This window comes from Homo sapiens, chromosome 12 (assembly GCF_000001405.40).
Source record: "Homo sapiens chromosome 12, GRCh38.p14 Primary Assembly".
Classification (NCBI taxonomy): Eukaryota; Metazoa; Chordata; class Mammalia; order Primates; family Hominidae; genus Homo; species Homo sapiens.
The window spans coordinates 58,709,775-58,737,044 of record NC_000012.12 but is presented as its reverse complement, the minus strand read 5'-3'; the positions used below and the strand labels follow the sequence as shown (position 1 = coordinate 58,737,044).

Sequence of the window (27,270 nt, the reverse complement as noted above, 5' to 3'; positions counted from 1 at the left end):
ACCTTGGGATTCCAGGCTTCAAAACTTTTTTTGGTATAGATTTGTTATTTATATATAGTTTTATAAACCAACCAATATATACATAATCCTTCCTCAGGATTTTGCTTTGCATTTCATTCCCTAAATAATGTGCAGTATTGCAATATTACTTATTTTCAATGTTTGTATTTTTCATACAAGTTCTGCCACAGTGCTCTCAAATTTGGCTTTGGTTTTCTTCTAAATGTCCATTATCACAGACATAAAGCTTCTTGGATGACTTTCTGGATGGTAGACTTCAACTTGCCAAAAGCTGAATCACGTATTATAAGTTCAAAAACAGTATGTCAATATTTTTATCACTATTGTATAATGTTTTAACATTTCTAATTACATCTATAAAATTTTTTAGTTTATAAACAATACTACTGTTAATGAGTATTTCACTTTGTTCTTTTTGCTAAAATGCTATAACTGCTTCCATTTGTACACTCACTTTCCATCTTCAGTTGATTTTTAATCCCTCAAGAGTTTGCAAAATAAAAAAGTACAAAAGCACTGGAGAAAATAAACTGACCAGTATATAATGGGTTTATAATTATTCATTATTTTGAATAATTTATGTTAAATAAATTTCTGAAAATTTTATATTAGTATTGTCATTTGAAAAACTAAATTTTTTTACTTATCCAGGCTATGTACTTAAATCAGCAGACAATATGCTTGATATAAGTCCTTTGTGATTTTCTTGTTTCTTTTTTTTTAATTCTATAATAGTGGTTTTCATGTAGATTTACAGTTAATTTACCCATGCTTCATCTGAACTGTAACTGTGATTACATTCTACCTGTGCTTGGATGTCCAAAGTACTTCTAATTTTTTCTAACTTTGTATCTATTTTCTCTGAAACTTTATTCAGTGATTACAAGAGCTGTATTTTCTTTTAAAATTGTTTTCTGACAGCAACCAATTGAAAAAAACCTTTTTTGATATCTTTAACTTGTTTAGTATTTTATCATTTAAAACAAATTTAAATATATTCATGTAATATATTGCTAAATTTTATTAGAAATTAACTTTTGTATTAACAATTGGCAATCTTTTTGTAACAACAAATAAACAATAGTTATTTAATTTGTGGATTATTACATGATAATCTATAATTTATATGTATGCAGTACTTTGGAGATTAGCAATGACTTATAGATATTGGTTTTTGCATAGTGATTCATATCATAATAAAATATTTGTACACTTAAATTAATAATTCAGAAATACTATTCAGTACAGTAAACAAATGGCAGATGAAATGAACTAAAATATAGAATGTCTAATTTACCCATGTACTAATATTAATATGAAATTAAAACCATAAATATTTACTAATCACTAAGTATATCAGCCATAAAAACAGCATCTTATTTGGAGGCAAAGTGTATTTTAGATATGATCAGATCAACAAGGTTTCTCAATTATCAAACTTGCTCCTCTTTCATAAGTTAATGTGGTATGGAATTTTATGCGTGTGTGTGCGCATGTGTGTATATATATGTATATATATATATAATATGTGTCTTAGATAACATACTTTACCACCATTAGTCAGAAAATTCCCATAATATGTTCATTTTTCTAGAATAAGACTCCCTCACTATCAGAAAATTGTCAACATAAATTGTAAATAGTTCACCTTTGAAGTCAACAGGTATAGTAAAAATACTGACATGTTACAGTATGAAGAAGATATCTGTGATGTGAACAGTGATCTGATGTGACTTTCTGGTGTAGTGCGCAACCTATACGATTGAACATAACGGCTCTATGAATTGGAATCTGCCCCTTAATTAAAAGTTGCAAACAACAGGGAAAAATTTTATATAATGTGTTCTTGCCCACTTGAACAAAATTGATTGGAACTCAGATGGGCAACTGACCTGAGGCAGGCTAATCACAGCCCCTCACATAGAAATGTAACGTTAGGACCAAGACAGAATTTTCTTTTGGGGTAGGTGAACCAGAAACATTAAAAACCAGATGTCAGTTACCATGTTTCACAGAATGAATAAAAAGAGGAAACAAAAAAGCCTGCACAGCAGAGTGTGGGGAAAATGTGAAGAGTCTGATGTCATCCTAGTGCCTAGTTCCAGGCCATACTGGGGGCCTGGCTGCATCTCTGACTCTGGGTCTCATAGGCCAACCTTCCATTCATTGGTAGAGGGGTACCTGGAGAAACAGATAGACATACACACACGTGCACATGTGTGCAAACACATACACTTTTTTGTTTTTAAATAAGAAAAACTGCCAGCCACCACTCCTTTGTCTAGTAGACACAGAAAGTCACTCAGGAGCAGTTTTTTTCTGATTTTTTTCAAAACACTTGAGTACTGCTTCTAAGTTATGAAAATATAAAATTGACAAGACACCCAAGGCCCTAGAGAAGGGTACAGAGCATCCTGTGGTCCAATTAATGCTGTCCCTCCTGGAGGCTGTCTCCTAATATCCTAATATGCAGAGGTAAGTGCTATCTAGAAGCAGGCTGAGGGGCAAGGCACCTCATGAGAGAGAGGTTGATTACAATCTCTTCCCTTTTCAGGTTTAAGATAACTAGGACCTTTATGATAGATGGTGGTGGATTTGGAAACAGGTCTGATCCCTTCGGATGGAGGAAGCCCAATTCATGAAGTAGAGAACTCTTTCAAGGAGAGATTGGATTTCCTATTAACATGAAAAGCAGGTGGACTGAAAGCTTAATTAGAAAATAAAACAGACATATCCATATTTGTATGGCATGTAGAGTTCAGATAAGTGCTGATTCTAATCAATTTTTCTTTGAATTAAATGACCTAGAGTTATCTTCATTATAGGCAACCAAAGGAGGCCTCGCTAATACGGAAGAGTTATATTCTGGGGACACAAACTGATCTAAACTCATGTCAAGGTTGCCTGTTCTATTAGTGAATTCTACCTCCAACTATTAATGTTTTATAACAGTCTGTAAACTATGAAACAGTATATTACATTCAGTAATGATAATAATACAATATAAAAAGGTAATATAGTTAAGTCTTTTTGTGACCAGCCTTCCCCACAGGAAAAGCGAAATGAATTGGAATCTCTCCTGTCAAAGGCCAGAGATGATTTGTCACCCCAAAAGCATCTCCAAACACTTAGTTTACATGGATGTTGGTAAATTAACTCAGAGCAACATGTTAGTGTGTGGAAGGAGGTTGCTTAAAATCTACTCCTCAATTTATTCAATAATTTTACAATAAATCAACGGTCTTTTCCAAGCAGTAAAATATTTCTGTTAAACAAACAAAAACAAATCGAAGAAACAGTTCGATTGGCTAACCATTACTATTTTGTTGTCCCCTGCAAAATGTTATAGTGAGTAAATTTATATTTTTATGGTTGCATTGCTTAAAGAACACTAGTGCAGTATTGATTTACTAACCTAATTTATACCCATATGAACTGCCACTCTCAGTTGCATTTATCTTCTTTAGTTATCCCAGTCATTTCTAAATACCAGTGTTGTAACTCTCTGTAATACCATTATTTTTCTTTAATACTGATAAAACACAGATAACTTCACAAAAAAGTTATTATCTATTTTTGGCGAGAATTTCAATATATGAGCAAAATTGGTCATACAATAACTTTAGGCTTTTTAGAGTGCTCTATTCTTTTTTATAGTTGAGTAGAAGATCTCTTCAATCTCAATTGCTTCACCCTAGATCATATTCAAATAGCTTTTTTTTAAATTTTTAATTCTAAATGTTAGGTCATTCTTTTCCAGCTACCTGTTGAGAATGACATTGTTTAGAAAAGGATTGTGAATAAGTTAGTTATTAGTAGAAGGAGCTGATAAAACAATATTTACCGCATCCTTTTTTATTCTTGTTGCAAAATATGTTAATGCATACCAGACTGATAAGAAAAACAGTAGCAGCAACAGTCATATATTAGATAATGTCTTGGCAGTTTCCATTAAAATGTGGAAATTCAAAGACTCAGCGTACTGTTTCCTGGGTCAAGTTGTATTTGTTTTTTTCTAGAACACAAATGCCACCTATTTGTGGGAGGTTTCTTTGCAAAGTGTATATTTAAAAAAGCAAAAACAAATAAACAAAATCACGGAGCAATTTAGGATTGAGTGAGACATAGTCACCAAATATAGAACTGATTCATTTATCTGCACTACAGATCTAGCAAGTGGATTCTGGTTGATTTTAAGAAAATAAATATGACAAGAGAACACTGCTATATTTGATATTTTCTCCACTGGCATTGCTTTTATTTCCAAAGTTTTATAATTTGGTTCCTTAACATATTCACATTTCTTGGGATTACCTAAAAGTTTTAACCTTAGAATTATCTTTTATTTGTGCCATTGAAATGGAGTACATTATAAGGGAGCTTCTGAGGAAGAAGTAATTCAAAAAAGTGAGTTTGGAAAGAGAACACAAAAATATTTTTTAGGTATAAAACTTGGTGAAAATAAAGAACGTGTCATAGTTATGAAATAAAAAAAATGGCGTAAGAAGTTTGAACAGAATAATCAAAATAAAAGCCAAACATTAAATTTTGGAGAAGAAAATCATCACAAATTAAAGAAAAGAAAATAATCCCAGTAAAATAACGTATATTCAAGTGAGAAACAAATGAGAGAAAGATAATGGGAGTGGGGGTGCTTAGTTTAGAAACTTCTGTTTCTACTTTGTTCATTCACCTGATATTTTCTCTTGAGTCAAGGCCTCAGTTCCACCCCATATGATTTAGATTTCCCTCCTCTAATTTCCGAAAACAGTCTATGCATTTTTCTAGCACAGGACTTTTTACATACACTGTAACTGTTGATTTTTATTTTTCCTCATTGACTGGGGACCGGGGATCAAGTCTTATTTTTTCTGTATCCCCAGTGCCGAGCACAGTGCCTGGCCAAAATAACTACTTATAATTGTTTGTTGGAGGAATGAATAAATTCCAAGTTTACAATTCCTACAAACACCCAACGAGTGAATAAAAATCACAGAGTTTTACTTGGCATTCAGGACACCACAGTCTCTCGGGGTTTTTCCTACCTCATTGGCTGTCCCTTCTCTTTCGCCTTTGCTCATTCCACTTCATCATCCAGATTTCTTGTTTCAAATGTCCCAAGACTCAGTCCTTACTTAGATCTCTTCTCTCCTATTAATACTCAAGTCTTTGAGGATCTCAATCAGTGTCTTGTGGCTTTACATGCTACTAAAGACTCACAAATGTGTAATTTCAGCCCAAACCTCTCCTCAAAACCCCAGTTATTTATATCCAACCGCCTACTGTTCATTTCCACTTAGATGTCTAACGAGCATCTTCAACCTATGATGCCCAGAACAAAACCCCCGATTTCTAACCAACCAAACCTATTCAGTAAATGGCAACTCATCCCTATTCTTACAGACCAAAAATCTGGAGTTATTCTTTTCTCATATTTCATATTCAATAGGTCAGCAAATACTCTGATCTCTGCTTCAAAAATATAACCAGGACTTAACACCTTCTTACTACCTCTTCTGCTATCACTCTGACAAGCCTCCTTATTGCTGCTGTTCTTACTTCCACCTTTTCTAGCCCTTTGTGTTTATTCCCAATGCAGCAATCAGAATAATCCTGTTACACATAAGTGTAAGATTCATGCTCAGACCCCCCCATGGCATCCTAGCTCACTCAGTAAAAGTCAATTTAATGGCTTAAGGGCCCCATGATCTGGTTTCTCTCCAACTTCATCTCCCACTTCATCTCTTGCTATGATTCACTCAGCTTTAGCCACTCTGGCTTCCTTGAAGTTTTTCTGATGAACCTTTCTTGACCTTCTTAAAATTGCAAACCCTCCCCATAAAACTTCCTTAACTTATAACCATCTAATATCCTTTAAGATTAAATTTTATTGTCTATTTCTCTTTACTAGATGTAAGCCCTGTGAAGTCAGGAATTTTTGTTTGTTTTGTTCAATACCTCTAGTGTCTAGAAGGGTGTTTGGCACATACTAGGTGTTCAATAAATATTTAATAAATAAATAAGTGAAAAATTAATTCATTCATTTGCATATTCAACAAATATTTATCGAGGACCCACTATGTTTCAGGTACTGTTCTAGGCTGCTTAATCCTGTCCCACTACAATAACCTGCCCCTGGGTTTTTGGCCAATAATGCTTACCTTTCGCTGGTGTTGTGCAAAACTTAATGAATCATCTCATTTTCCATTCCCTCTGGATCATTATGTATGCATTTCTTCATCTCCTCTCCCAATCGGTTTTTTATCTATCATGATTTATTACTTCCCACCTTCATTTGTCTTTCTCTCTTTCCAGAAGTGAGATAAAAGTCACTTAACCAATTTAAGTACTAAAGAAGAGAGAGACATATGTTTTAAACTGAACTTGGATATGATGAAAAACCAGCTTCCTTGGCCTTTCATGCTTATAAGCATCTAAGTCTTGTTCAAATCATTAAAATACTGTCATCTGCCTTTTGATTCCTTTAACTCACTTCTAATTTTTTTAAAATTTTTATATATTTAGGGAATATATGTGTAGATTTCTTACATACATATATCATGTGGCAGTGAAATCTGGGCTTTTAGTGTACCCATCACCCAAATAGTGAACATTGCCCCCAGTAGGAAATTTTTCAACCCTCACTTGTCTCCCACCCTCCCAACTTTTGTACTGTCAAATGTCTATTATTCCACTCTGTATGCCCATGTGTACCCATTATTTAGCTCCCACTTATAAGTGAGGATATGTGATCTTTGACTTTCTATTGCTGAGTTATTTAACTTACAATAATGGCCTCCAGTTCCATCCATGTTGCTGCAAAAGACATGATTTTATTTTTCATGGCTGAGTAGTATTTCATGGTGTGTGTGGATGTGTGCATCTATATCTTTCATCTGTATAATATATATAATATATAGATACATTTATATATAGGTGTGTGTATATATATATAGGTGTATGTTTATATATAGGTATGTGTGTGTATATATATGTGTGTGTGTGTGTGTGTATTTTCTGTATTTCATCCTCTGTTGATGGACATTTAAGTTGGTTCTATATCTTTCTTATTGTGAATAATGCTGCCTTAAATATACAAGTGCAGGTGTCATTTTCCTTTGGTTATATACCCAGTAGTGGGATTGCTGGATTGAATGGTAGTTCTATTTTTAGTTCCTTCAGAAATCTCCATACTGTTTTCTATAAAGGTTGTATTACTTTACATTCCCACCAACACTGTATAAGTGTTCCCATTTCTCCACATCCTTGCCAATATCTGATATTTTTTGACTTTTTAATAAATAGCCATTCTGACAGGGATGAGATGGTAGCTCTTTTTTGTTGTCGTTTGAGACAAGGTCTCACTCTGTTGGAGGGCAGTGCTATGAACATGGCTCACTGCAGCCTTGACTTCCTGGGCTCAAGTGATCCTCTCTCCATAGCCTCCCAAGTAGCTAAGACTACAGGCACATGCCACCACACCTGGCTAGTTATTTCATTTTTTGTAGAGATGTAGTCTCACTATATTGCTCAGGCTGGTCTCAAACTCCTGGGTCAAGCAATCCTCCCACCTCATCCTCCCAAAGCACTGGGATTACAAGTGTGAGCCACCACTCCCAGCCTGATGGTAACTCTTTTTACCTACTTTGTGAATGTCTTCATCCAATATATGCGTATATGAAAAATACATTTTCTTATTAAATTTTCTTACCATTTCCAATTTAATAGATTATATTGTAATAGAATCATCTTTTATTATTTTACATTGTGTATGTACATGTTTGTGTAGGCATGCATCTGGGAATATCACTTGTGGGAAAATGAATTCTGATTATCATCTAAAGATAAACTTTCATAATATACTTAATGACTTGTTTATCACTTGCAGACCAACTACATCTTTAAGAATGGTCTTAATTAAAATTTACTTTTCTAGGCATTCTTCATCTAAGTGGCAAGCAACACTTGAAAACTACATAAAGACAATCATTTTTCACCTGTTGGTTTTTCACTGAAAAATTCCCTCCATCCAGAGCAGTGCTAGAAACATAGTAGGCACTCAGTAAATATTTGTTCAATGCAAGAATAAATGATATGAGATGAAAATGAATAGTGAATATATATAGGTAAGTGTTAAGATGGCATTGGTGAATACAGGCAGTTAATTAAAAGATATATAGATTAGTAGTATGAGAAGGTGCTAATTTTTTATTTAATTTTTTTAAAAAACTACAAGTTTATGGGAGTCATAATTTCTCCTTAACTTCTTGGAATATAGGAAAATATGAACAGAACTTTGAAAATCCCAGCCAGATGAATTTTGAAGGGGTTGGTATACTGCTAAGATTTTTTTCTTCATCCCTTAATGTTACACTCAAAGAATCATGACTATGAGGGATAGTCAGGAGTCTATAGAGAGACAGCAGCATATTTGGAGTGAGTCATAGAGCTTTCTAATCATAGAACAAATCCATGGAATCTCAAATGTGCCAGTCTCAAGTCTCAGAGGGCAGGACGAAAGTAAATATCAAATGAGTATCAAATTAGATAGCATATTCTCAGCAAGATTCAATAAATTATAGCCATAGGTATTTTTAATGAAAATCAGGCAATTTCTCCAATCTGTATTCTGCTTATGGTATTACATGCATGCACCACTCACACAATCATCTGGTAAACAGATAGACACTTACCATGGCTGATAAGAATTAAATTATGACCAGAACTAATGAGGCCAAATACAAGAAAGTCACCTTTTAAAATTGAACTTACAAAAGCCTTTTTCCACATTACATTGACAATGCCTTCTTCAAAATCTACCTCATAGCTCACACTATAAATATGGCCATCCAAGATCATTTGAGACTGAAAAACTAAGTTTACTTATTCCAAAGCAATAAGAAAATGTATATATTCTTTTTCAGTCAAGAGTTTGGGCTTTTGTGATAACTGAAATATATTAGGTAGCAGAATGTAGTCACCAAAATATATTTTGATCTTCTGAATAAATGACTTTGTTCCTAGGAAAATTCTCAGTGGAAGCCCAAAGCTACAAGAGGCAAGATATTTGACTCTTGGATTGTTTTTCTAGGGCTTGTTGAAATGCAGCCAGTGTAGTAAAAAATGACTGTGAAAACGTAGACTCCTCTGCTGACATGCCACGAAGAGAAGACAAGAACAAGTTGCTATTCATTTTCGGAAGGTGCCCACAGGACAGTGTGCCACACTGGTCTTTTCCTTCATCACTCATTACAGCTCATGACAAGTCTCTTCAATTGAATCTGGACCTCTTTTCCCATACACTTTCAACCAGGAATTACGTAATAATTAGAGGATGTTGCATGTTAGATACCATTACTCTGCCCACACATCCAACTAGTAATTTGCTCACCACGAATGTGTTTGGCCTATACATTTTATCTCTAAACGCTTTGCTCTGACATTCTTTAAAGTTGTGATTCTAATGTAAACCAGGATATAATGTAAGTCTTTCAATGAAGATTCTCTACCCTCAAACCATTAAAAAAATAGGAAAATAGGCCACTCGCAGTGTGCAAAAGAAGTCCCATTGATGAGAGTGGACCTCAATTGCAATTGCTTGGTTTTTGCAATTCTTCCTCTGAACATCAAATATTGTGCTTTAATTGCACTTGTGGAAATCTAGTGACTACAGGAAATTTAGTCATCTTTAAAATGGGTATTTCATATTGCTTAGAGGAAATAAAATATGAATAGAATAATATAAATGTGAGAATCTAAATATTATTTCAAGTTTTAAAATGCTATAGTTATTTAATATTTCACTTGGCCAGAATATTAAGCTAATGGTTGCTCTCTGAATATATTCATTGGCTTTGTCCTTTAGATAAGAGTATTAAGCTTAAAATAAAATTGATAGGAACTCTACATTAACCTTTGGGATTCACTAATTACTAATTAAATTGGCAAATGAGCTTCTGCCAGAAAAATCTCATTCTAACTCCATAAAACCCAAAGAACTTTAAAAGCACTTCATCAAGTCAAGAGATTGGGGAAAAAAATGTTATCGGCTAGAAATTATTATTTCTGAATTCACTTTTTTCTCTATCTAGTCTTTTAGCTTGCCTCTATGACTACATTGGAATATATCACATACTTTTTAATCATTTAGCTGTGCCCCTCTTTGGTGTGTTTGTTCTCATTCATTCACTCATTTGTTATCTGTGCCAGTTAGCTTTCTTTGTTTGCAATCCACAGGAATGGACAGTGACTAAGCAGAAATAAAAACATAAATACATGAATTATTAAATAGCATGGGGTATCTCACAAAATCAAAGGAAAAATGATGACCCAGTCTGTTTTTTTTTTTTAAGTCAAAATGAAAAGCTCCTCAGTGATCTAGGAAAGAAAACAGATAGATGTTCTTCTTAAGGTACCATTGTATTGGACGAATGTGCTCTAAAAAGTAAGCGTGTGCATGTGTGTGTGAGAGAGAGACAGTTCACTTCCTCTAAAGTAGGTACTGAGCACCTCAGTTCATGCTGTATTCTAAAAATGTACACGTATTTTAATTGCAATCCCTACTTTCTAGTAGCTCATATGCAGACAGAGAAACTCATTATATTTCTCTTGTAAGGACATTTAGATTATGTCTATGCTTTTTCATTTTTCCCTTGCTACTATAAGCAATGTTATAATAGACATCCCGGTAATATATGTACTGGGATTACCCAAGATGCATCAATTATGTAAGCAATACATATTTTCATACCCTCTTCAGGTGTGTGTGGCATCATAAATCTCAACATGGGAACCAAATTCTAGGTGAGGGTACATTTTGCACCTGCAGAGTGGTCACAGCAAACCATAAATAGAACCTCCTACATAAACACAGTATAATTATCAAAATCAGAAAACGAACATTGGTACGCTATTTATTGTTTAATCTACAAACCAGATGTCCCTATTTGTCCCAGTCATGTTCTTTAACACCTAAGAAAATCTTGCATGGCACTATGAGTTAGATGGCATGTACCTTTAGCCTCTTTTATTTTAAACAGTTCCAGAATCTTTGCTGACATGGACATTTTTGAAGGGTACTGCTCAGTTATTTTGTAGAATGTTTCTCAATATGGGTTTGATGTTTCCTCATAATTAAATTCAGGTTGTGTTGCATTGGAAGTTCCCTTAGTTTCTGTTCGTTGGCTTCGTGTGCTTTTTGCCCTAACAAAAGAGGTTTTGAGGTTTCTATTATAATTTCTTACATCTTTCAAGTAGAAACAAATTCCAATACAAATCCATACTTAAGTTTTGAATATCCAAAGGGTGAGACCAGACTGCTGGACAATGTTTTCTATTGCCCCACTTATTAATTTTAGGGTGATAGAAGGAAGCAGTTATGGAGAAGTGGCATGCAAAGCTTTGTAAAGTTCTCCTCTCTTGAGTCAGGCTGCGTGAGATCTGATATAACAGATGCCATGTTAAAGTCTTCTCTTGAACAAATTTGTTTCTGCCTCCTTATTAAGCTACCCTAGCTATCTCAAAGAGCTACTAGAAACGAAAACTAAGAGGACACATGTGGTTTATAGTCCTTGTAACATTTTTTACTAGGTGTTGATCCGTGGCTTTCACATTTTAATGTAGGCACTTTGGGATTACTTAAAATAAACATTTTCTTTTATAATCAGTAAATAAATAGGATAAAGTTATTTTTATTAAAAAAATTCAAACCTACCCTTGACCAAATCTCTGTTTCTTCCTAATTATTATTCTCTCTTTTTGAAGCTAAGCTCTTGAAAGAGTGGTGACCACTTTATGTCCCTACTTCCTCATCTCCCATTTACTTTCCCAGTGACCTTCTCTGTCCTGCCTATGACACCTGATCAGTTTTGATCACTTCCTCCTTTGGTGTTTGATTCAACATCTTCTTTATTTGCATGGCTTACTCCTCTCAGCCCATAAATGTTGTCCTTCCTCAGGTCTCACACATGTCCCAGTTCTTCTCACTGCTCAATAATTCATACATTTTTATAGCTTCAGATACCTCTTTTCAACAATGATCCACTATCCAGAACAATACCCTGGTCCTCTCTCCTAAGTTCCAGGACTTTAGGTCTATCTGCCTAGAGTACTACTCCACTGAAAAGCCTCACAGGCCAAGTAGCTCCTTTGACTTTCTTGCATACTCAGTACCCAATTAAAACAATGAGTCTAAGATTCATTCGGGCATCCAAGTCAGAAGTAGGAGTTGTCAGAGATCCTTCCTTCATTTTCCACATCTAAGTTCCGTTGAGTCTGGCTCCCCTATATTTCTCAGATCCATTCCCTCCCTTCTTTTATATATACCCTCTACTACCTGGCTATTTTAGTGGTCTACTAATTGGGCAACCTGCCTCTAATATCGACTTCCTTCACCACATCATGACCAGAGTGAGCTCCCTAAAATGCAAATTTGATATCGTCTGATTTTATAAGCTTACAGTATATACACTCTCATGCACAATAATATTCTGAACAAATCCCAAACTTTTCACCATGGCATAAAATCTCATGATTATCTATTTTAGCTGGGCTACTTCTCTCTAAAATTATTTACTATACTCTAGCATGTTTCTTCATTCAACAAATACTTACAAATCATGTCTGAAATTGGTATAGACCGTGGGGATACAAGGGAGAAAAAACTCAGCAACAACAAAGTTCTTCACTTTGGGGAGTTTATTATTTTTTTCTTTATGTTCGTATCAGATGAAATTTACTTACCCTTATCTCAACACTTCCTTCACACAGTGTCGTCTAATTTCAAATAGATCAAGAACTAAAAATCAGTGTCGTACTTAGTGTATTTGATATTTGGAACAGATTCTATTTTAACATTATTTAACTCTCTACTTGATAAACCTAACTTTAGTAATAATAATCAATCATGAAATAAAATAAAGAAAACTAATGGCCAGAAAAGGCAGATAGTGAAAATTTTATTTTGTTGAATTTCATATATATTATTATGCTAGTGAAATAAAATAAAAAACACAAAGTAAAAATAACATTGCAAGAAACAGAAAAGTAATGGATTAATACTCCTTAACTACACTGATAGATTTCTTTTAAATGGGGGGGGGGAATCTTATGTCTCAATATTGGTCCATTATAGGAATGTTATGTTTTCTTTTTTTGTGTTTTAGAGACTTGATTTCTGCACATTTGTTAAGAACTTCATCAACATTAGTTCTCATCATATTTTCATTTTTAATAGAAAGCATAGCCAGATTTGCCAATCTTTCTTTGCTCATAGGTGGTCAAAGAAGACTTTTTATTAATTCCAAAATTTAAAAATTTATTTCCAATTAAGACTCAGGAAAAGCCTGAAGCGTAGTGATAACTTTGGCATCAATCCATAAAAATCCCATTTCACTGTATACTTCAGAAGTTTCAGTTCTACCTACCAGCTTTCAAATATCTCCACACTCAAAAAATTCCTGCTAATTATCTTCATGACCACATTTGTCATAAATTTCTACGATATTTAGTAAAATCTTCTGAAGTTTTATTTCCACAATTTTTTTCTGTAAAAACTAGAGAAAATAGTTAAAAGATATGAACATTCACATTATGTGATTATTGCTTTAGAAATGAGTGTCCAATTCTTAGTGAAAACAATTGAGGCATTCAAATGCTGCTCTTTTGATTTCTTCTGACAAAGAAAGACCATTCTCTTTTGTCATTCTTCCTGGCATTGTTTTTCACATTTGATTTCATTTTTCTATTTAAACATTCATTTTCTTACATTTGCTTATTGCATCGTTGACTTCCCAATGTCCAGGTGCTGATCTTTAAGAAATCACGCTAAAGCTTGGCATTTCATTGTGTATTGTCCAAGTCTGATCCTGGATGTTTGTGATTGATTAACTTCATCTAAAATTTCAAACAATAAAAAAGAGGACTCAGAAAAGAAAAATCCTATTCATCAGAGAGTAATACATAAGCTGATCTTTTTGAATCCATATTTCCTATTAGATCACACAGTATTTCCAAAGTTGGTATTAACTTTTAAAATGTGTCTGTACTGCATGCACAGCTCTCTGATGAGCATTTTAGCTTGTCTGGGAAAGTCTTTCCACTCTTATGTCTTCATTCTGCAGCATTTTCCGGTGAATGAGGTGAGCCTAAAAAGAATAAATAATTTTTCCTTAAAGTTCTAAAAAATGATACACCTGAAGAAATGTTTCCAGTAGAATGACTTCTGAAGAGATTTAGAGAATGATTATTTATAAAATAAAATAAGAACTTGGAATTGTTTATTATTTTTCTAAAAGCCAATGAGACTTCTGACCGTAGTTGCAACATAATTATATCCTTCAACATTGTGTATATGTGATGGTTAATATTAAGTGTCAACATGATTGGATTGAAGGTTGCAAAGTATTGTTTCTGGATGTGACTGTGAGGGTGTTGCCAAAGGATATTAACATTTGAGTCAGTGGACTGGGAGAGGCAGACCCACCTTCAGTCTGGGTGGGCACCATCCAATCAGCTGCCAGCATGGCTAGAAAAAGCAGGTGGATGAGTGTGGAATAAGCTGCCTTGCTGAGTCTTCCAGCCTTCATCTTTCTCCCATGCTAGATGCTTCTTGCCGGTTAACATCGGACTCCAGGTTCTTCTGCTTTCGGACTCTTGGACTTAACACCAGTGATTTATCAGGGGCATTCGGGCCTTTGGCCATAGACTGAAGACTGTGCTATTGGCTTCCCTACTTTTGAGATTTCAGGACTCAGACTAAGCCACATTGGCTTCCTTGCTCCTCAGCTTGCAGACAGCCTATCATGGGACTTCACCTTGTGATCATGGGAGTCAGTTCTCCTTAATAAACTCTTTCACATATACATCTATCCTATTAGTTCTGTCCCTCTGCAGAACCCTGACTAATACAGTATAGTAAACAACCATTCTTTAGAAATGCAAATGTGTATGGGTATCTATACTAGAAAAAATGCAAGTACCTATACTAGAAACAACACAAAATTCAGATAGCACAGGAGTGAAAGAAAATGTTGAAACATCATCTATAAGCACTGACAGTAATGAAGAGAAAGAAAATGCTGGTAAAAATCAACATTAACAGGATAGATAGATGATAGACAGATGATAATGATGAAGATAGATAATGATAGATAATGAGGATAGATTGATTGATAGGTAGGTAGATAGATAGATAGATAGACAGGAATAATAAAGACTGAGACCAAGAATTTGAAGCAGAAGAGACAATGTTATTTTTCATTTATTCTGATATTGCTTCATGGCCAGTACTGGTTCCAGATGATTTGAGAGTTAATTGGATTAAGAGAAGATATAAACCTCTTCAGATTAAAGGTGAACCTTTCTACACTACAGTTCAATGAGAAGGAAAAATATAGCAGAGGAGATAGTCAACATGTGACAACGTTGTGGTTTTATAAGTCTTTACCAAAAATAAAAGGAGACAAAAAGTTAAGAAATTGCTTTCTTCAAAATCAAAAACGTGTTTGCTTTGCTTTCTGCTGCAGACCATTTGCAGATAATGAGACAAAAAGTGAAACGGCCAGCTTTATAACTAGCTTTAAAACATAGTGAAAATTAAATCCTCAAATCTCTGAACATGAGACATCTGAACATTTTTCCTACTTAGAAAAATGGAAGACATCAGCAATGGTACTAAAACTCCAATAAAAATTGTTGATAAAATGTAGCATGTGGAAATGAATAAAGAGCGGGAAAATGGGGAGACATTTTACATCATCTTTTTGACATAATTATGTTTTTAGTTACATGAAACCTTTTCTTCTGTGGTCACAGAGAGAATATGCCATCAACAAACACAGAAAATTTTTGGAGTTGCTGGAATCACTCTCAAATTGTAACCCAATTCTGAAGGAACAGTTTGTTAAAATTTAATATGTTATTCCTTTTGAAGGGGAATTAATTGCATATTTATCTCCAAAACTCATTTTCCGGAAAAATGACATCAAAGAAAAAATAGTAATGGATATTTAAAAAGCAAAATATGTTGGAATTATTTGACAGCTCAGCTTATGCATGGGATTGAATTTTCAAATTCTACTCTCAAGAGTCAGAGATCTTACTCAGCATCGACCTTTACAGCCTTAAGGATACAGACAATCAAGAGGCTCAGTTGGAGAAGAGAGGGGCGCAACCTCTTATGGTCTCCATGGGTCCGGCTTTTCCACAATGGACACAAGCACAACAGATGAGGTCCCCAAGAGGTTTGGTAGGATTCCTCACACTGCAAAGACCATTTAACTTATAAAATATTTCCATGTTATACCCCAGAATGTGTTATATAGCTTAGGTGAAATTCTCTAGGGAGTCATGCCTCATGGATTAAATCCACATGGGGTTTATTTATCATAAGTCATCTTTTAGCCAGAGACATCCTGCTGATAGGAACTCTTTTTCCTAGTGAATATCATTAGCTTATTTACCAAGTGAGGTCCAAGTGAGGAGGACCATAGACTTGTCTTTTTTTCTTGCCCCAGGAGGCATGCCTTCTTCCAATTCAAGCCAGCTTCTGAAATTCCTTCCTCCTAGTAACATTCTGAATGTTTCACACTGAACAAATGTGCAAAATAAAAAGTTATGTCAATATTGAAGATGATAAAGTTAAAATAAAAGAATCTTTCTTGGGCTTCTTTTTTATTTCTGGGAAGATTGGATCTGAACTGATAAGAGAGACCAATGGACAGTGATGGATGGGAAATAATAAATTTGGCAGGGATTCATAAAAATTCTGATTCACTATAAATTTCAGAAACTTTGATACTGTGTTTCTTTTAGCAGCTTTTGAATGTTTCCAGAGTTGAAAAATTCCACTAAATATCTTCACCAGAAAATTCTCCATAAATTTATGTTACAGTTAGTAAAATCTTCTGGAGTATTTCATTTGGATAAATCAGAGAAAATGGTTGAAATATAGCAAACTGACATGATTTGACCCATTACTTTAGAACCAGTGTCTGATTCTTAGTGACACAAATTGGGCATTGAAACATGACTCTTTTCATTAGATTTTTTTGTTTTGTAAGCTTTAGTATATTGATGTTGTTTTTCAATGGTAAAAGTACCCTAATCCAAGCCTCTTTAAAAAATTCAAAATAACTTTGAACCAGCTGCTGGTTTTACAACTACCTTGCAAACAACTACAGATTTTCACCAAGTTTCTGCAAGACTAAAAAATAAATAAATAAATAAATGTTTATTCAACATTCTTTGTATCCTTTTAAATTTGAACTTTGAGCTTTTGATTACATTGAAATAATAATAGTTGTGTGAATATTGTCTAGTAACAGATAAGTAAATTTTTATAAAATCAAACATTTGAAAAGTCACAATTTAAGCAACTACTAAGTCATACTATTTATGTAACATTCTATTCTCTTGATTTGTTCATTAGTTTTAAAACAATTGAAAAATTTTAAAAATACGTTCTATTTTAAAGATATATTTAAAATTTGGTAAAATAGTTTATGAGCTAAAACTTTCCACACAATTGATATAACCTACTTAGGATTTGCCAGCAATACTCTTGCCATCAATACTCTTGCCTCAAAAATGCTAGAATTTATTTCAAGGAAAATAAGCACAACATGTGCCTTACAATGCATTTTGAATAGCCTATGAATATACTCAGTCTAACCACAGACTATTTGTCTATTCCCTGATGACTGATATTTCAACTCAGTGTGTAAGACAGTCTTCACAAACTATCCTACATCCTAGCAAATATTTTCCGAAAAGCTTGTCAAAACAAAAATACTCTGGACTTATCTATTACCACTTATATATATCAATATTGTCTGCTCATATCAATAGTATTCTACTTTGGCTGACTTTTCATAGTCCACAATGTTATGTTTTTTTTTTAATTAATTCCATCTCTCATTCAACAAACATATATTAAATACTTTCTAAATGCCAGTAAGGTGCTGAGAATACAAAGATAAAAAGTGTAATTCCTTCCTTCAATAAGGTATTATCTGCACAGAAAGGCAAACAAATAAATAATAAATTTCGGTAGATGCCAAGACAGAGGTTCCTTAAGGGACTAGAGAGAATCTATTAGAACATTTACCCTGAAGGCTTAGAGATTTGAAGGATGGTAGTTAAGACTTGAAAAGTTTTAACTAAGACAAAATAAAATTATTTTTTGCTTTAGAAAAATTACTCTGGCTTCAAAATTAAAGGTAGAAAGGCCAGTTAATAATCCCAATTTGGGGCCAGGTGTGATGGCTCATGCCTGTAATCCCAGCACTTTGGGAGGCTGATGGGGGCGGATCATGAGGCCAGGAGTTCAAAACCAGCCTGGCCAACATGTTTTCATCTTGTTAAAAGAGGGAATAGGAAATGTATAAATATGGCAGATGGGCAGAAACGGCTGTCAAACTGGTGCCCACTAAATATCAGATTAGTTACCCCTACAGAAGGTGGAACCATGGCTTATTCATCTTTGTTTGCCAGACCATGACATTAAGCACTGACTTAAAAACATGTTTTTTGGACCAAACATAAGGTAGTATTTCTGAAAATGGAAACTCGAAGCAAAAATTCTGAATTATTTGTGTATTCTTTCCCTCAAAATACAAAGTAGACAAATAATGTAGGAAAATATATTTTTTATTAATTTCCTAAACCAGCTGGATTCATACTTTTTTTTTTTTGACTCAATGAGCGACACTAAATAATGGAACAATAACTATAAGTTGGCAACTTAAAAAAGTCAATATCCAGAAAACCCACAACCTTCAGAATTGGCCCATTAATTTAGAGCTGGCACCTTTTATTCAACAAACACGTAATAAGGTCCTTACTGTTCATTGGACACTAAGAATAAAAAAGAGTAAGAATTCCTACTTTAGAGAACACTGTTTTAAAGAAATATAATGACTTTGAACATGATCACTGTTTTTCTTTCCTAAGTTCCTAACCCTTCTCCTATTCTGGGTATTCTTTTAGTCTCTTTAGGCTTCACATCAAAAGAGGGGATTGAAAAAACAGGCTGCTATGGGGTTAGAGAGATCTGACATGAGGGTCAGCACCTGCCTTGTATAATAATAAGTACCCCCACTGCTGATGTGTACCTAGTGAGGACACGGAGGAAGTAGAACATAGCGTATGTATTGAATGACAAACCTGTGGCTCCATCAGGCTCCTTTCCAGAACTTCCCCTGTCTGGAAGGAGAGAGCTGGAGGAATCAGGAGGAGTGAAGCATAGAGGGGTTCAGGTGGTTTATTTGGCAAATCTTTCAGAATTATTTTAGATAACTATAGTGTCTAAGCACCACCTGGATACTTCCATGGTCTCTGTAGCATGAATGACTCTCCAAAGAAGGCTCCTGTGCCAGTTTGCTTCAGTTTTTGAGGCTATAGGTTCCTTGTCACATTAAATTTGGATAGGTTGGATGGGTGCAGTGGAGTTGGGGAGAAAAATGCCTATAGCTGCCATGGTGATGGTGACTGTGATCTGGCTAAAGCTAGCATTACGGAGTTTGGAGAGAATTATTCTAATACCTGACTCGCACAGATTTGGGATGTAAATTATCTAGTGTATAGATTACAATAGCAAATGCCTGGCATATAATAAGTATTCAAGAAAGCTATGACAATTATTACTATCATCTTCATCATCATCTTTGTCATTGTCATCACCTTCAAGAAGGACAATATTCCAATTGCCAGTCCCAATTATTCCCAGCTGAATCTAGAAATTCTTGGTTTTCTAATTTTCCAGGTAAGATTATGCAAACAAGAGAACTGCAACAGCATTTACTAATGACTAATGAAGGTTGTAAATAATAAGTAGCAGCTCCTTCCATCACTGCCACCCAACAATCTATACTAGCCTAGGACAAAGTCATGACAAACCACGTCTTGTGGGCATGGCAGCCATCTTGCTCTGAAGTGGATTCATCCAAAGGTACACCCTGGTTGCTGTTTTAATTTTTATTTTTAAGCCTGTAGCATTAGGGATATTTGAAGCAATAAGCTAATTTACCCTCAAAAGGAAAAATCAAATAGTGGATAGACACTGGGTGGATCAGGATGTTGAGAAATAGTCACCACAAGGAGAAATGCTTTGACTTAGACATTTCTAAATAATTATTCTCCTAAGTTTAACAGTTTTCTCTCTCTTTACCTCCCACCCAAGTTGAAATAAGGATTCTATTGCCAAGCAAAGTTTGAGTATTATGAAATAAAGCGCCCCGAATCTGATGATGCTTTATTTCATTTTCTTTGAAAAACAATATGGCTCTGCAAACAGATCCTGTACAATTTTCCTGTGGGATGCATTGAAATCCAAAGTAAGGACACCTTTATGCAAACCTATGAAAATACATTTAAGTAAAATGGAAGACTCAGAGAATGAGACAACCCAGAACTGAGTCAGTTATAATGTTAGAGTTCTCACTACAGATTCAGTATTATAAAACTTCCATATTGTTTCATTGCATTTTTATATTGACAACTAATTTATTTTTTACTCTCAATGTTCTGTGATATAACAGGAATGTAAGGTATTATATCTATACTACAGCAGATGCACAAAAAAGTCATGAAAAGTCACATATTTATTAGACCCAAAGAGCTTTATTTGCTTCTCAGTTATTTACTGACACCTAATAATTATCAACAGCTATGCAAGTACCAGGACAACAGAGATGAGGGAGGGATCAGCTTTGTGCATTTGAGTGGCCACTCCAACATGTTTATTAGAACTCAAAATTCTAAATCTGGTTTGTACATCCATCATTTCAAGCAAGTTATTGCAAAGGAGGCCTGAGAGTCTCAATATAGTTTCAAACATCTGTGCATACTAAACAGTTCTCCAATAGTCTCAATTCTTTTTTAACACCTGTTAGGGAACACTGGTCCAACTTTATGAGCATGAGATCACCTTAGCATTTTCCACTTATAATTTAGAATAAAGGGCCTGTCAACCCTGGGTGGGAATTGACCTCACAATTTAGTGGGGTGTTTTTTTTTCTTTTTTTTTGGGTGGCCACCTGCATTTGAAATCATTTATCTTCATCAAGTTTAATAAGCTAAGAGAAGGGGGCAATCCATTAATGGAACTAAAAATTTTTCTCCTCCAAAAGACCTTGTTAAGAAAACAAAGTGATCTTAAAACACATATACACACCCAGGTGGAAGCAAAGTTTGGCACAACATAAAAATAATAAAGCTGGAAACATTTTTCTTCAAACTCCACTGCTTATTAAATATTTTAAATAAATCTAATGAAAATAGTTCAGGTCCTGTTGTGGGGTGGGGGGCATGGGGGAGGGATAGCATTAGGAGATATACCTAATGTAAATGACAAGTTGATGGGTGCAGCACACCAACATGGCACATGTATATATATGTAACAAACCTGCACGTTGTGCACTTGTACCGTAAACTTAAAGTATAATTTTAAAAAAAAAGGAAACTAGTTCAGGTGTGACTTTGTGACTGAACCACAAGACTGTTTCTTAAATTTAAAACACAAACTATTTCAAGATATTTTTAAACCACACTTTTTGTCTCAAAAGTGAGCATAAAAAAGAATCAAAAAGGTTAGATTTTACTTTTTTAAGAAATTATATTTTTAACTTATATACAGAAAAATTCACTCTTTTTGATATATATTTCTACAAACTTAAAAATGCAAAGATTCATGTATTTATCAACACAGATAAGATCCAGAGCAGTTTCATCAACCTGGCGTCTCTCTCAGGTTGACCTTTGTAGTCCACCACTTCTCCCTCCTTCAACCCCTGGAAACCACCATACTTTAACCTTTTTTTAAAAAAAAATGAAATATACATGCAATGACATAGTATGTAGCTTTTGTGTATAGCTTCTTTCACATGGTATAATTTATTTGTGGTTTGTCCATGTTGTGTCAGTAGTATATTCCTTTGTACTGTTTAGTAGCATTCCCTTGTATTCACATACACAGTTTGTTTATCCATTTTCTAGTTGAAAGTTATCTGGGTTATTTCTAGCTTGGTGAAAATTATTAAGAAAGCTCCTATAACTACTTGCACACAGATTTTTGTGTGAAATACATTTTCAGTTCTCTTGGGTAAATTCCTAAAAGTAAGATTGTTAGGTCATATGTTAAGTGTATGTTTAACTCGATAAGATACTGCCAAACTATTTTACAAAGTGGCTATCCCACTTTTATTTCATCCAGGAATCTATGAAAATTTCCTATTCTCTGCATTTTTACCAGCACTTGGTATTGTCATATTTTTGTTTTGCTTTGTGTTTTAATTTTAGGAACTATATCTTTGTAGTGGTAGCTTTTGTTTTAATCAAAAGTTTTTCTATAACAACTATCACTGTACATATGAGTTACCAAAAGTGACTGAGACTCTTAACTTGGAACTTAATCTTGGCCCTTCCCTAATACACCTTACCTGCTACAATAACTGAGAACCTCAGGTATTTTTATGCATTTTTGCCTAAGGAATTAAATAATAACTCAACAGCTGAAGCAGAAAAACCTAAGGAATAAACTAAAGTAAATGACACCTAAGGCAGAAAATTACCTGAAAGAAATCCAACAGCTCAATAGCATATACTATCTGAAACACAAGTATTGGAACAAACCAACCAAAACTTTAAAACAACAAAAACAAGTGTATTGAAAGAAATAAAAGAAAGTATTAGCGATATGAGAAAAACAAGTGACTATAAAAATGAACAAAGAGGAAATGTTAGTTATCCCACATATAATGGTTGAAATAAAGTCCACAATAGGTGGGGTAAAGACTAAGATGGATATAGCTGAAGAAGGAATCAGTGAGTTGGAAAGACAAAATGGAGATAATAATGTAATTCTTGTTATCAGGATTAGAGATAGTATATTATAGGGCCAACTCAGGCTCTATCATATACTTAATACATGGTAAATATTTAGAGTTGGCACTTAATACATGATAAATATTTATTTTCCCACCATAAATTCTAGACACCCTTTTGACTGTGTTATGGAGAGTAAATGTTTTCAAATGATCTAAAAACTGACTTCATAACTTTAGCTAAAGATGGGTACAGTTGAGTAACACCTTTCCTTGTGTTTACTTTCCTCTTTAATTCTTGCTTTCTTTTCCAAGTCTTATCAATATATGCTACCCACATATTTGTGTCTCTGTAGCGGTGTGGAATATAGAAAGGCAGGAGCTCAGAAGTCTCTGAAATCAGTTCATGGGTTAAAACCCATGAACTTTGGTAAGTACATTGACCTCCTTAACTCTCAGTTTCCTCATCTGTTAAAAAAAAAAAAAAAAGAAAAAAGCATATTACCCTACCCACCTCATAGAATTCTTCAAGATAATTAAATTGGATAATGAAGACCAAATATCTAGCACAAGGCCTGACACATGATAGGTATTAAATAATCGACTCTTCCATACTCTTCAAAACACAACATTCTCAACCCCTGATCTTGAAATTTTTGTTTGAAAACACTGATTTCACAATTAGAGATAAGTACAAGTCAAATGCACTTGAGGTAGATTATGCTTGGGATAAGCAACCATTAACAAACTTATTCTCAGGCATAATTTATTGATATAAACCTCTTTCCAGAAAATAAGGATTTATTAAAAGAAAAGGAGAGTGAAAGGAGAGTGAAATGAGAGTACTGGATGGCTGAGGTATGAAAAGAATAAATAGAGGAGGATATATATAGAAAAAGAAAAGAGTCGGGTCCAAAAAAATAAGCTTTACTTATTTCAACTCTCTATTTGAGAATGGTTATATGTCTCAGAGTCTGGCTTATAATATCATTCTTCTGGAATCTTGGCCTTTAGCAGGCAGCATACTATGTTTATCAACCATATTATAAAAGACTCTGCACTCTATGACAAGGCTTTTCTGCTACTCCCAATAATAAACACAGGCTTTATTCTGAATTACATCCTATGACAAGTTGTGTTATGCTCAAACTTTATTGTGATGCATGAAACCTTTCCCTTTCCAAACTATAGTCCAAGTCCCTTTGGAGCCAATCAATGCAATTCCTGGCCCAGGTATCAAATGACAAGGAGAAAATTTTGAGTACTCAGCTTTTGATAATTTAAGCATTCACTGTCAGTCAATCCATGTGAGTTTCATATGCAGATTTATCTTGGAGAGATGTGAATCTGGTCGTGACACGTATGTATTCTGTGAATTTCATAACAATAGCCTGCCCATTGACCACTTGCAAATCCAGTATCACCAGCACTGCCCATTGATCACTTGCAAATCCAGTATCACCAGCACTGCCCCAGCCCCCTCATAAATGTGAAATGCTACCAAAAAAGCCATCCTTTTTTCCACGTGTACTAATCATTACATTTATTGAATTTTAAGTAATACCTAAAGATAACATTGATATTACTCTCAAGATATAGCTTTCAAGATCAGAGCAGTGGAAATCTTAGTGGAATATTTTGGAGGTTTGTTCCCTCCTCTGAATCTCCATATGCACATGTCTTTCTTTTCTCAGTTAACTGTTCTATGTATAGAAAATTCATTTCTATTATGTTAGAAGTGCTTTTAGAAAAATAAATAAATAATTGTCTGGTACAAATTTGGTCAATGTTTTTATGTGTTTCTGGAAGATAGAAAGTACCTTCAATCCATTTTATTTATTCAATGCCCAGTATGTTTCAGGCTTCGTATTAAGTGTCAAAGATCCCATGACAAGACAGCTCCCCTGCTTGCTGGGAGGACGTGGTGAGGACAGGGTACATCTGAAACCTCTGGTGTGTCTGGCAGAGTTGCAAACGACTAGATTCCATCCAAGATCAAATGAATCAGAATCTGTGGTGAGTGTCCTGGGAATTATACCACATAAACTTTTGTGGGTTAGAGATTGTGTCTTGTTCTTCATTTTATTCCCAGTAGTAAGCACAAATCCTGAAACAGAGCAGACACTTAATACCTATTTGCTAAATTGAATCATTTTACAAATATGTGAGTGTCTTCTATGGATCAGACATTATCCTAGGCGCTTGTATCAAGGAAGAAAATAGACAAAAATCTCCATGTTCCACGAAGTTTGGAAGAGAGAGGGAAAGACAATCTAAACATAATAATGAAATAAACTGCACAGTGTGCTAAAGGCTGATATGCTACAGGGGATAAAAGTAGAGCAGGGTAAGGGAAAATAGGGAAAATCAAGAAGGTGGGTGATGAAAGAAGGAAATCAGCAGTATTAATTGAGGTGCCAGAATAGGTGTCCTTGAGAAGGTGACATTTGAGCAAGGACTCAAAGAAGGTAAGGAAGTCAGCCTAAAAGACACCTGGGGGAGAAAAACCCCAGGAAGAGAAAACAACTAGCACAAAAGAAGTAAGTCAGGAGTGTGCCTGGCACATCTGAGTGACAGCAAATAACCTCCTGGGCCTGGATCAGAGTGAACAAGGGAGAGAGAAGCAGAAGAGATAAGGGACAGGTCATGTGTAACCTCATAGGCCAATGTAAGGACTTTAAATTAAATGAGAGAATGTGTTAATGATTGAATGAGTTAACAAATGAAGTTTCTACCATGTCTTGTGGTAAGTACTACATAAAGAAATTCAGATGGTGCTCAGAGGAGAGCTTATAGTCAGCATTCAAATATTGTTTTAATATTAGATATTATCTTTTTGCAATTAAAAAGTGCATTTTACCATCATCCATCTTGCCAATGGCTAGTGAAAATTAAATATGATTCTAATAAGAGCAGCACTTCTTCTGTTTTCTTTTTTCTTAATAAGTGCACTATTTTTAAAGGTAATCAACTCCTCCTATTCTTGGTTTGCTTACAAATAACTAACTAACATGGCAGAAGTAGGATAAAAGCCTTATCTTCTGTCTTTGAGCCAAGAGTTTCTTCCATTATCTCATATTGTCTGAAGATATCCAGAATGTCTGACAAATCAGTTTTATGATTCCAAGGGCCATAAAGAACAGTGGTGAAATGACTACCCTAACACTGACACTCTGTACCAAGTAAAAATATTTTTTTAACCATACATAGTCTGCAGTGCATCCATGTTTTCTAAGGCTCCAGTACAAATTGTTCCAGTAGTATCAGATATTATTCTGCAGAAAGTTCAGTCACATCCATGAATATTTCACACATTTTGATAAAATTATATAGATTCCTTTGCCATAGAAAAACTACAGTTTTCTAAACAAATAACCAAATAAAACTAACAAACAAAAGCAGGAACCACAGACAAAAGAAATAAATGAAAACAGAGTTAAGTTTCAAGCACATGATAGGTAGCAAACCAGAAGAGAGAAAGTAGAGGAAAAGTTATATTTCAGCCTATTGTTTTACATGAAATCATCAAACTGATTTCAGAATCTCTAAATTTTTTCAAACTGTATGTAGTGATGGGATATAACACTTTATGGTAATTTAATTATATTAGATTTATTAAAGATACATTGAACCTGCCATGCATATATAATAGAACCATAGTTTTACATTTGACATGAATATACTGCTGTATTGATTGCTTTCCCAAGATGGCCAAATAGGAACAGTTCCGGTCTGTAGCTCCAAGCTTGATAGATGCAGAAGACAGTTGATTTCTGCATTTCCAACTGAGGTACATGGTTCATCTCATTGAGACTGGTCGGAAGGTGGGTGCAGCCCATGGAGGGTGAGCCAAAGCAGGGCGGGGCATTGCCTCACCTGGAAAGTGCAAGGGGTTGGGGGATTTCCCTTTCCTAGCCAAGGGAAGCCATGACAGACTGTACCGGGAAAATCGGGACACTGCCACCTAAACACTGCAGTTTTCCAACAGTCTTAGCAAATGGCACACCAGGAGATTATATCCCATGCCTGGCTCAGCAGGTCCCATGCCCATGGAGCCTTTCACACTGCTAGTCTGAGATCAAACTGCAAGGCAGCAAGACTGGCTGGGGGAGGGCTGTCTGCCATTGCTGAGGCTTGAGTAGGTAAACAAAGCAGCCAGGGAATCTCAAATTGGGAGGAGCCCACCACAGCTCAATGAGGCCCACCTACCTCTGTAGTCTCCACCTCTGGGGATAGGGCATAGCTGAACAAAAGGCAGCAGAAACTTCTGCAGACTTAAACATCCCTGTGTGACAGCTCTGAAGAGAGCAGCAGTTCTCCCAGCATGCTGTTTGAGCTCTGAGAATGGACAGACTGCCTCCTCAAGTGGGTCCCTGACCCCCGTGTAGCCTAACTTGGAGGCACCTCACAGTAGGGGCCAACTGACACC

General features: G+C 34.9%; 2 long non-coding RNA genes across 2 annotated transcripts in view, besides 1 other annotated feature; one reads left to right on the top strand and one right to left on the bottom strand.

Moving 5' to 3' along the window:
* Positions 1-27,270, top strand: part of LINC02388 (long intergenic non-protein coding RNA 2388) — a 215,758-nt gene that overhangs the window by 44,672 nt on the left and 143,816 nt on the right. The gene's annotated exons all lie outside the window — the stretch shown is intronic.
* Positions 1-27,270, bottom strand: part of LOC100506869 (uncharacterized) — a 220,968-nt gene that overhangs the window by 75,625 nt on the left and 118,073 nt on the right. The window lies entirely within an intron of this gene.
* Positions 18,159-18,328: an enhancer, noted in NCBI's record as "experimental_30091 CRE fragment used in MPRA reporter constructs". NCBI's record gives its function as "activates a minimal promoter by MPRAs in K562 erythroleukemia cells, with activity observed for both the introgressed and non-introgressed 12:59112584 variant alleles {active_cell/tissue: K562}" and the evidence as "EXISTENCE:reporter gene assay evidence [ECO:0000049][PMID:34662402]".